This window comes from Homo sapiens, chromosome 3 (assembly GCF_000001405.40).
Source record: "Homo sapiens chromosome 3, GRCh38.p14 Primary Assembly".
Classification (NCBI taxonomy): domain Eukaryota; kingdom Metazoa; phylum Chordata; class Mammalia; order Primates; family Hominidae; genus Homo; species Homo sapiens.
Window position 1 is genome coordinate 112,088,215 of NC_000003.12, and position 12,110 is coordinate 112,100,324.

The window sequence follows — 12,110 nt, forward strand, 5'->3', positions numbered from 1 at the left end:
GGAATGCCTTGAACTAATCTCATCTAATGTGTTAATCATTCTCTTTTGTCCTATAAAATAAAGTGAAGTGTATTTCAGTTAGAAAAGTCAATAAATATAGGCTCATTAAAAAGATTCAGACACTTAAGAATTTTGTGTGTTGGTCTCTTTGAACTGTATATTAAGATTTCTAATTTTGAAATGTAGCTGAAGTCCATGTATTTTCATTAACCCTGTTTAGTAACTGTCTTGTGACAAATACTTTTGATGCATAAATGCATTTAATTATCACAACTAACTTAAGAGGAAGGCGTCAGTATTCTGGTTTGTCAGATTGAAGATGCTGAGTGAAGAAATTGAGGGAGGCTCAGAGGAGTTACCAAAATCCTCAAGTTCACTCAGTGGTGCCTCTGAAGCTTGAACGTATGTTTTTTAGATCTCAAACCTTTGCTGTTTCTGTTGATTTATTCTATCTATCTATCTATCTATCTATTATCTATCAGCATTTAATTTAAATATGTTATATATAATTTATACTCATTTGTTTATAGTTGCCTAAGTTATTAATTATTACTAATTTCTATAAGTTAGGTAATTTATAATTAGGCAATTTAAGTGAGCTAGGAGTTGAGTATCACATCTGGAATGATGGAGTTGCAGGTGGATGGGTGAGGAATCGGGAACAGTTCTGGAATGATTGGGAAGAAGACATCTCTCTTCTTCCTTGGAAGAGCTGTGGTGGGAGAGTGAACAAAAGCAGTAGAAGGAACTTCTTTGCCTTTCTTGATGTGTGCTTGGCACTTGAGACAAAGGAATAGAAGCCACTGAACTCCACTTTGCCTGCTGTCACTGTAAACATGGCAATATGGCTGGGTCAAAAGTGAAAAATAAATTATGGGTAATAGAGTGAGGCTGGTTTTCTTTTATGGCTTATTACAGGGGCTCAGTTTTCAAATAGAAATCCCAGAGGCATTTTAAGAGATGGCAACATCATTTGAATAATAACAAACCAGTAAATTGATAGTTTTGAGGCAGGTAAGATTTATTTCAGGCCGGGTACAGCGGCTCACGCCTGTAATCCCAGCACTTTGGGAGGCCAAGGCAGGTGGATCATCTGAGGTTGGGAGTTCGAGACCAGCCTGACCAACATGGAGAAACCCCGTCTCTACTAAAAAAAATACAAAATTAGCCGGGTGTGGTGGCGCATGCCTGTAATCCTAGCTACTCAGGAAGGCTGAGGCAGGAGACTCGCTTGAACCTGGGAGGCGGAGGTCGTGGTGAGCCCAGATCACGCCACTGCACTCCAGCCTGGGCAACAAGAGTGAAACTTCGTCTCAAAAAAAAAAAAAAAAAAAAAGATTTATTTCAATGAGCTAGCTAAAAATTAGCTCCATTGCCACGTGTTGTTCAGTTTAGGACAAGAATCAACTGGCTCTTTTGTGCTTGGATCAAACAAGTGGATTAAATCCCACAATGAGTATTATGAAGAGTTTCCTACCTGTAAGAAAATTTTCCCTGATCTATATAATATCTGCTTCTGATTGAGTCAAAAAGAAGAAAGGCTTTTTAGATGTAAGAGATAGGTATCCTGCCACTGTTGCAGGATCCTGTGTCATGTATTTAGACCTTTATCTAAAGACGGATGTAAATATCCGGGGAATGTTCATAGGAAAGCCCTGAAAATTCTTGAGCCATATAATATGATCACAGAATATAAGATGCAGATTGCAAATGTAAATTATTAAGCCATGTAAAACAATAATAGAATGTAAGATGCAGTTGCAAATATCTCCGGAAGGCACCTTGCAGAAGAATCTATGTGTGGCCTCTCCTCACGATCTAGAATTTGGGCAAGAGAGATGAAGCCAGTGAAGAAGGCAGTGTGTCTTCATGATCCAGTTTTGAGGCAAGACTCAGATGGCACAGGTAGCACACACCTACTGTGTCACAGGCTCTTCACCCTCAGGGCACATTGGAATCTCCGGGCGTTACTTCTAAAAGATACTAATTCCTCAGCTGATTCTAATGGGCAGACAGCTGAGAAGCACTGTACAGTCTATTGTTTGGCTGGGAGTGTCTGACAGTTTCATGTGCTTTTTTTTTTTTTTTTTTTTTCATTTGAGAGAGTCTCACTCCTGCCACCCAGGCTGGAGTGCAGTAGTATGCTCATAGCTCACTGCAGCCTTGACCTCTTGGGCTCAAGCGATCCTCCCACCTCAGACTCCTCAGTATCTGGGACCACAGGTGTAAACCGTCATGTCTGGCTATTTTTTTATTTTTATTTTTTGTTGTGACAGACCATTTTATAATGACATAAAGTCTGTGAATATTAATCATGTAAGGGATAGCGCTCAGCGGTCTTCCTCTTAGAGCTGAGGACAGGTCAGTGAGGGCACTAGGCTACAGGAAGAGGCATTTCCTATAGATGACGGCTGTAAAATTTTAAGCTGAGTTCCTCCAGGAAGTCATAGAGTAATTAGTGGTTTTTTTCAACACACCAGAGTCCTAATTTGTGATCTCTAAGGGACAGCATAAATAAAGGCATGAGAGGCCAAGGAGGTGCATTGACACTCATTCTATGGCTCATTTGAAACTAGATATTTCCTTTTGTGCTAATCTTTATGGGTCCCAGCTGCCTTTTATGAGGGCTGAAAATAGCACCAGGGCTTTGGCCTCAGGAGCTCTGTAAATGGGGAGATGTTTCTGTCCCCTGAGAAACTGAAGATTCTTTGTACTGGGATGTCTTTTTCCCGTGTGGCTTCCCCTGGCTTTGAAGCAGTTCTGCAGGTTTTGAGTGGGGATGAGAGGTGACCCTATCCCTGGATTCCAGAAATGCACTTAACTCAAGAGGGATTTCCTCTGTCAAGATATCCCTAGGGCCTTTAAGTGCTCCCCTCGCACCTCTGACAGGCTAGGCCTCAGAGTCAGTGTAAAGTGCACTTGGGAAATCCAACATTTGTCCCCTCATCTAGATTTTCTCAAAGTCCATTCTTAAAATTTCTGGGAGGCCTCTACAACTAAACAGCCCACAATCGTTAAATGTATATTACTTGTAGAAGGCACAGGTGTGGAATATAAGAACAGGGCAGTTTAAGAGCACCCCTCCTCTATGTGGTTTCAGTTTACGCAGGAAGATAAGGCCAGGCTCTGTTTGTTTTTGAACCTGAAACCGGACAGGGCAGTCAGTGGCAACAGCAGATGGGCTATGTGGACAGCTCAGGTATTGGAAGATCTCACTAAGGGCAGGTGGGGAGGGAGGCTTCCACCAAAGGGGAGATTTGACCTAACTCCCGAAAGGTGGGAGGCCTCAGACCAGAGGTCTGCCATGGCCTCCTCCCACCTCCCTTACAATCTGGTCCACTAGGTGCAGGTGGGGCCTAGGTATGTGTCAGTTAAAATCCTTACCCAGTGATTCTGATGTGCAGCCAGGCTTGGGCACCTCTAATTGAGAAGGTTGGAAATACAGTCCAAGTGTGGACTGACCGATTCGTTTTCTGATGGCCAGCACCAAAATAAGAATGGCAGAGAAGGCCAGTCGCGGTGGCTCATGCCTGTAATCCCAGCACTTTGGGAGGTTGAGGCGGGAGGATCACGAGGTCAGGAGATCGAGACCATCCTGGCTAACACAGTGAAACCCCGTCTCTACTAAATATACAAAAAATTAGCCGGGCGTGGTGGCGGGCGCCTGTAGTCCCAGCTACTCGGGAGGCTGAGGCAGGAGAATGGCGTGAACCCGGGAGGCGGAGCTTGCAGTGAGCGGAGATCGTGCTGCTGCACTCCAGCCTGGGCGACAGAGCGAGACTCCATCTCAAGAAAAAAAGAAAAAAAAAAAAAAGAATGGGAGAGAAAGCAGGCCAGGTGGCCAGGTGTCGGTCAGGAGCGAGTCTCCTCGAGTGCCGGCTGCTGCTTTGTGGGATGGTGAACGCTGAGGAATGACTGAGGCGCAGTTGCACCCTTTGGCCGAACTCCCAATAATTGTTTAGCAGATGCTTTGTGTCCATTATCTCTAGTTTTTGCAACAGTCCTGTGAGCTAATTTACTATTTATATATTTTAAAGCTGAGGACTTTGGGGCCTATGAGTTTCAGTAGCTTGCTTAAAGCCACCTTGCCTTTAAGTGGTATATCTTGGTTTGGAATCCAAGTGTGTTAGATACAGACACATTTTTTCCCCATTGTATTCTGTTGTTTCCCATGGTCTCCATGAAAGAATTATCTAATGGTGGAGTGGGAAGTAGGAGAAGAGTCATGGGACCATATAGGGTAAGGTGGGGGCCCCTCTGTGACACCCTCATAAACCGGAGCTCTGCACAGTGATGTGGACAAAAGGGAAAGTTGGAGAGCTTTGTGGAGACACACAGCAGGGATTGGTTCTGGCTCATCTCTCTGAATTGCGTCTTTGAAATGGACTAGTGCACACCCTGAAGGGCTGTTAGGGTTAAGTGAAATGACGCTGGTGCTCAATAAACCATAGCAGTTGTACTTGTTTTCATTGACCCCTCCTCTGCCTCACTCCAGCCTTCTCACTCCAGCTTTGCAGCTTATTTCCTGTTGTCTCTTGCAGCTGTCCTTTCATTTCCCTTCCCAACCCTTTTTTACATAGAACCTAGGCCACAGCAGTAGCCTTGTAGCTTTTTCTTGGTGTTTCCACTCTAAACCACACATGATTTTCCCTTAATTTTCAACTCGGCTCTGGTGTTTCAAAACCTTCAAGTTTCCAGTGCACACCCAATTAAGTCCAATCTATTCTGGGACAGCTATCAACACCCTCTGAGTGTGCTCCCAGCCTTTCACTCTCTCTAATCTTAACTTTCATTATTTGCCTCTGAAACCCACATTCCAGTCGGCAGGCTAGTCTGCTGGCCGGTTCCATTACGAATCCACACTTTGGATGCTCTTTCCTGGGTTTGGAATGCCTTCAAAAATCCATCTTTCAAAATCCTGCCTATCCTCCCCACTTCAGAGCCCCCAGAGGATTTTCTTGCTAACTTCTTGATGAGGTTCTGTTCTGCCTCTGATCTCTCTTTTTGAAAACTTGATTCAGTAGAGTGTTGCCCTAAGGTCAGGGTCTTGCTGCCTTCATTTCTGTGTCTCTGGCACATCCTAGGTATTCAGAACTGTCTGTTGCAACACAATGACTGCCTCACAATCTCCCTCTGCCTTTCTAGGCTAACAAGGAAAGCCCCTGGAGCTCCTGTAATAAGAATGTGGTTGGAAGATGCAAACTGTGGATGATCATCACCTCCATTTTCCTAGGTGTCATTACAGTGATCATCATAGGCTTATGTCTTGCTGCAGGTAAGAGGATTTAGATGTGAATAAATAACACATTTTAAGAACTTACTTAAGGCTTGTGACTTACACTGAAATGGAAGATGTACTCATAGCCATTTCATTATTTATAATGTGAATTTAAGACCGGCTTGGAATATATTGTATGGGTGGGAGATATGCCTGATTCTTGTGTTTTTGTTTTCTGTTGTTGTTGTATTTTGTTGTTTTATAAGCTCCAGAAGAAATATAGAAACCAGTGTTTTACTTTAAACTCTGCTCATTGGATCTTGAAGAGGTTTCTTAATGTTTCAACTTACTTAAACACTGATTTATATTTTATTTATATCCTGATACCTGTTGATTTGAATTCTTTTTCTTTTCATTTGTTTGCTAAAAATAATTATACTTCATCTGGTGTGTCTGATATATTACTATGATGATAAAATAATAAATAATGTATTTGAAAGAGTTTTAAAAAACTTTGAAGAACCATGTGTCCATAAGCTGTCATTATTTTAACTTATTGTATTTATTTATTTTTTTTTTTGAGAGAAAGTCTTACTCTGTCACCCAGGCTAGAGTGCAGTGGCACGACTTTGGCTCGCTGCAACCTCTGCCTCCCAAGTTCAAGGAATTCTCATGCCTCAGCCTCCGAAATAGCTGGAATTATAGGCATGTGCCACCACGCCCAGCTAATTTTTGTATTTTTAGTAGAGACGGGGTTTTGCCATGTTGTCCGGGTTGGTCTTGAACTCCTGACCTCAAGTGATCTGCCTGCCTTGGCCTCCCAAATTGCTGGGATTAGAGGCATGAGCCACCATGCTTGGCCCAATTTTAACTTGTTTTAGAAATGACTGTTTATTTTATTAGTGTTGTATGTGTGTATAAAACAAAAAATGTATAGAATGCTAACTATATATGACTACATCTATTCCATATATTATTTCATGTTGTTGCTTATTTTGATTGAAAAATGATATATGTTCAGTTACCCATAAAACCCATCTGTAATATTAATATTTGGTCATATTTTCTTCTAGTCTTTTGTTTAGTTGCATTTCTAAAATAATTTGAGATTAGATTTCTTTATAGTCTTGTGGACTACCTTTAGGATTTTGATATTATGTTTAGATCATTTTGCCAAGTCATTAAAAATTATTTGTGAACATTATTATTTTTATGATTTGCATGATACAGTCTTCCACATCATTTAAAGTTCTTTAGGTAGTTACCAATTTTTTAATGATTATTAGTATTCGTTAAAGTTTTTACATCCTCCAGTGGACAATCATTTCAATTCAAAATGGGAAAGAAGAAAATTGTTTTTATTTATATGTGGGGGTGATGGTAGAGAGGGGCTCGACTGAGGCTGGGATACTCCCGAGCATGATCCAGCCTTCATGCGGCATGGGTTGAGTCCAGCTCCCAGTTACAAACCCAGTCATAGAATGAGAAGAAGAAGGGGTAACTCCCCAGTCTCTCCAGAGGGAGTTCTCAGGAATTTTCCTCAGAAACTACATTTTCCATTTACCGCTTGTTTCCCCTTCTCCCAACCCCTTAATTTCCTGTCTTAGAGTTTTGTAATTCCTGAAGGAATAGGAAAACTTTGATGACATCAGCCAACCTCCAGCACATAAGTTTCCTGGCCAGGCACCATATCTACGTATTTACTTAGGGCATTGTTCAGGTGTGTTGGATGACTGTTTGAGGATATAAGCTGGTGTTAAGGTAGGAAAAAGCTAATGAAGTGTGCTGCACCTCCTCCGTCATGCTGAGGACAATAGTTTTGGTGTGAGCATTGCCATACTTCCTATTCATATCAATTCCAACACATGGATGTTGAAAATGAGGTTGAGTAGCACAATCTTGTCCTGACATAACTAGTTGGTGCTATCCTAGAAGTTGATATTTGGATCCTGTTGGCATCTGGGGCCTATCATAAAGGATGATTCAAGAGATCTAGATGGTTTAATATTCAGGATTCTAAAGCGCAAGACCCAGGATCTGTCTTCCATTCTCAAAAAGTCATCTAACCTCTTCACCTCACAAAGAGCAGTCTGCAAGAGGAAGGTATTTCACTTCCTTCCACAGTTTTTCTGGAGATGTAAAAGGTTATGGGATAATATTCAGGGAAGAATTTTTTTAACACTTGTAGTGCAAACTTTATTTTTAATTTAACTGTAAATTTGTGTTCGAACATGTCAATGCTGTAAGAGAGATTTTTTCAAACTACTTTTTAAATCAAGGAAATACTTGTATTTTACTTGGCATCTCAGCTCTTAGGTATTTGATCCTGTGGGGAGAGTCATGTTAGACGTGGGGGTGGGGGGAGATACAGTAGGTTAAAAGGGGTGGGGCAGGGGCTCCCTTCTGTGACAGTCCCAGCCTCACCTAGAGCAGTTCCGTAGGCATTTTTTGGGGATGATCTTCAATAATCAGCCACTTCCTAATTGCCAAGCCCATTAATATGAATCAGATATTTGTGGAACTTTCAAGTACTGCATGGGAAATGTTGTCTGGGGATAAAAACACTGTTGGGAGAGTCAAGGGCTGTGCCTGTGGCTGTCTGGATTTACTGGGTGACTAAGGTTCCTCAGGAACTATATTTGCCATTCATTGCCTGCTTACCCTTCTCTAGACCCCTTAATCTCCTGTCTCAAGGCTCTGTAGTCTTCAGACTGAAGCTTGGAGGCGGAAGTGTTAACTTTTGTTCTTCAGTAGGCAGGTCTTTGCAAAACTACCCAGAAAGGCTGAGGAAGCTGAGAGGCTAAAGAAAAACTGACAAATCCAGTTACTCAGAAAGAAACATTTAACAGGGTTTTAGGAACAGAAGCCATGCGTTGGGCAGCAGTGAGAGGAGATGGTGCATTCCTGCACCATTACCCCAAAGGCCCAGGGCTTAAATACCACAGAAAAAGGGTATGCATGCTTCAGAAGGGATGTGTTTTATAATTGCATAAGGGCAAGATTTATGGCATGTAGATAACGTTAAGGTTGTTTAGACCTGAGGGTGAGATTTATGGTAAGTATGTGCTCTTATACATGCAACAGTAGATGAAATAGAAATCTTAGAGGCATTTCCAGAGCTGGGATTAATCAGAAGTTAATACAGTGAAATAATAACTAAGACGGAATTTCTTTAGCCTTCAAAACTGTGCAGTTGGGGTGGACATAAAATGGGACAGTGAAAGCATCTCAGAACAGAAAGTTGGGGAGGGGACACCTGGGTACCCAGGGCAGGGTGTCCAGTGGGGAGTTATATTTTTTCACTCGAATTAAGAATTGTCAGCATGTGGTGATAATAAAAGCAGACCAACTTGTAGTAGGTTTTATTATTGCTGCTCATTCTCTACAGACTGTGCAGCCTTCATTGCCTGTACATGGGTTGGGCTTGCCCACTACTCTTCCCTTGTATGCCATTGAAGAATGACAAATTCAGGATCATGGCTTAGCTTAAAGCACTGAGTAGGGGCTTTGTATGTGCTAGGGAAAAGAGGCTACCTGTCCACCAGACTCACAATCGACATGGAAATTTTTTTAATGTCCATTTTTATGAGTGGAACCCAGGGAATTCTGTTATTTGAGACTCTTTAGGGAAAAGGTATTAATGGATTCTTTCCTTCCTCATAAGGAATTATAAATTTCTTGATTTGAAAGGTACAGAAACAAAAGCCTTCATCTTTTTCTCAAAGTCATTTTCTTTCTGGATAATTTGGAGGATCAGTTGAGTGTTCTCAAGGGTTCTCCTTTCTTCAATAATTCACCCTAGTCATGGAGAGGTGAGACCCTGAATAACACTTTACTAATGAAGTTTTGGTTGGGGCAAAATATTTTAAATATTTCAAAAACAAAACTGTGACAAGTAGGTGGATGCTTAGAAACATGATTTAAATTGATAACATCCTGGAGACCCTCATGTGATATCCCCCAACATTATACCCCAGATTCTTGCCTGACCCTAATCTCTTAATTTATACACCTTTTATGAGTAGGAACGCTGTGGTACTGAGATATAAGCAACGACTTCCTAAGTGACGTTGTGTTGAGTGGATTTGTTTGCCTTTCAGTTGTGAATAAGAGCTACATTTTATGATGTCATGTGGTTCTGGCAGACTGACAGTTTTCACAGGGTAATGCTCCCTGGTGTAGGGTGACTCATGGGAAAATCCTAGGCAGACAGCATTAACAAGCTATAAGCTGCCAAGGTCCTTTGGGGCAGGAACATGAGAGCAGTGCTAGACCCAGTACCTTGAAATTTCTTTCCATTTTCACCTGTTTATCTTTTCTTCAAATCGCTGATGTTTCTCTACCAAGATGGACACCCTTACCTGTGGTCTCCATATAATATCTTTCAGCTTCCTCTGACCCAGAGATCTTCAGATATCTCCTCCTCTCTCTAAGCATCCTCAGGTTCTTCTTAATTTATGCCTAGTGTTCCATTATTGGAATGCTAATCATGTAGAAGTTATTTATATCTTACTGCTCAAGGTCATCACCAAAGTCTGAATGCAAAAATTCGAAAAGTTCAACCTCAGGTATAAATGGGTTAACTCTTCAAATGCACTAGCATCCTCTCTCCTTCAAAGCAATCTTCCATCAGGATTCTTGCTACTTCATTTAGATATGTGTTTTTCTCTCCCTTCTTTCACTGGCACACTTCCAGAAAGAAAGGTCTGCATTTGAATCTTGCCTCCTGCAGACTCCCAAACCTCTTGTATCTATTGGTTCCCAATTTTTCTTCCCAAGATTACTAGCAATTGTCTGATCGTGGAAGCCAACATTTCTCTGTCTCCTGCCTTATTGTCAGCTTTTAGCTCTGCCAACTTCATTATACTCTTCTGAGTCTATAGAACTCCTGGACTTTAGGTTGATTTTGCTATTTTTGCTCTTGGCATCTGCATTGTGGGTTCATGAGGCTTCTCTTCAGCTTCGTGACTTTTCACATTCTTCATTCTTTTTCTTGGAGAGCTCATTCACTCCCAGGACAGCAGCCATGCCTCCAAGAAGGTGACTCCTAGATCTACATCTGTACAATTTTCCTGAGTTTTGGAAGTACTCTTGGCTAGAGATATTTATCTAAAAATAACTGTCATCATCTCAATTATTATACATGTGAAACTACCATTTGTTTGTATGCTATTTTAGTCTGCTTGGGCTACTATAACAGAATATCATAAACTAGGTAGCTTATACATAACAGAAATTTATTGCTTACAGTTCTGGAGGCTGGGAACTCCAAGATCAAAGTGTCAGCACACATTTGCTGTCTGGTGAGGGCACACTTTTTATTTCGTAGATCATGCCTTCTAGCTATATCTTCTATGGTATAAGGGGAAAGGCAGCTTTCTGGGCCTCTTTTATAAGGGCACTAATACCATTCAAAAGTGCTCTCCCCTCATGATCTAATCACCTCCCAAAGGCCCCACCCTCTAAGACCATCTGATATTGTTTGGATTTGTGTCCCTGCCCAAATCTCATGTTGAATGATAAGAGGGGCCTGGTGGGAGGTGATTGGATCATGGGGGTAGATTTCCCCTTTGCTATTCTCATGATAGTGTGTGAATTCTCATGAGATCTGATGGTTTAAAAGTGTGTGGCTCTTTGTTGTTTGCTCTTTCTCTCTCTCTCCTGCTCCCCCATGGTAAGACATGCTTGTTTCCCCTGAGCCTTCTGCTATAATTGTAAGTTTCCTGAGGGCTCCCATCCTTGCTTCCTGTTAAGCCCGCAGAACTGTAAGACAATTAAACCTCTTTTCTTCATAAATTGCCCAGTCTCAGGTAGTTCTTTATAGCAGTGTGAGAATGGACTAATACACGCTCACATTGGTGGTTAGATTTCAACATATGCATTTTTCGGGGAGACACAAACATTCAGACCATAACATATCCTTCATCCCAATTTGTTCATCTTTTCCCCATTCACTCACCCTTTATATAAGACCAAGTTTATTTTAGTTCTGCTACTATCCAATTGTGTAACTTTAGGCAAACTTGTCAAGCCTCTGGGCCTGTTTTCCCATTTATAAAATGTAAAGGATTTCGGAATCTGAGTCTATAAATATACCTTGACCCTAATACATGCTAATTCATTGACCTGAACAAATTATGCATTTTCTCTAAGCCTCAGTGTCTTCATTTAAAAATGAAAACAACAATATTTAACTCATTGGGTTAATGTGAGGATTATGTGAGGAAAATATATTCATAAGGTGCATAGTAGAATGTTTGCACGTCATACTTAATACAGTAGCTATTATTCTTCCTGTTCCTGGGCTTGATATCTTGGAAACCTTTTTGATTTCTTCTTTCTCATATCTAGATAATGGCCAAATCTTACCAGTTATTCCTTGGTAGTGTCTTGATAGCAACTTTCCCACTTACTACAAGGCACCATGCAGGATACTTTATGCATGTTGGTTTTCATCTTTACTATCACCTACATTGTAGGTGTTGATATTTCTGTTGGAGAAGTAGCTTCAGAGATTTAAGTGACTTGCTCAAGGTCACCTGGCTAACAAATAGCCAACAGGAGTTCAGACTGAGTCTGGCTGCCTTTAAAGCCAGCTCTGTTTCTACTATCCTGGGCTTTCTCATTAATTTTTTCTTTTTGTTCCTTCTGCTGTCAGTCAAATCAGTCTGTTCCAAACTTGTGCCTGTTGGCCTCTCTGCCTCATCTCTCCTCGTTTCATTTATCCCATCCATGACCACCCGATTAACCTCCATTAAACACCAGCCTCTACTTTCTTCGTGGGCGATGTTTAACAACACTCCATTACCCCTTGAAGGTATCTGGCGTTTAAGGGCTCTCTCTCTAGCTTAATTTCTTATATTCTAGCCAAAGAACTGTTTTCATGTTCCTT

General features: G+C 41.3%; 1 protein-coding gene across 4 annotated transcripts in view; it reads left to right on the top strand.

Annotated features, from left to right (window-relative positions):
• The window catches only part of C3orf52 (chromosome 3 open reading frame 52), a 49,993-nt gene that overhangs the window by 1,826 nt on the left and 36,057 nt on the right, over positions 1–12,110 (top strand). For all 4 annotated transcript variants that reach the window (XR_924171.4, XR_007095726.1, NM_024616.3 and 1 more), the window contains exon 2: positions 5,146–5,275. Coding sequence is in view for 2 of the 4 variants with exons in the window: in NM_024616.3 (NP_078892.3) it covers positions 5,146–5,275 (130 nt within the window). In the remaining 2 variants the exon portion in view is untranslated. The remainder of the gene's footprint in view (positions 1–5,145; positions 5,276–12,110) is intronic.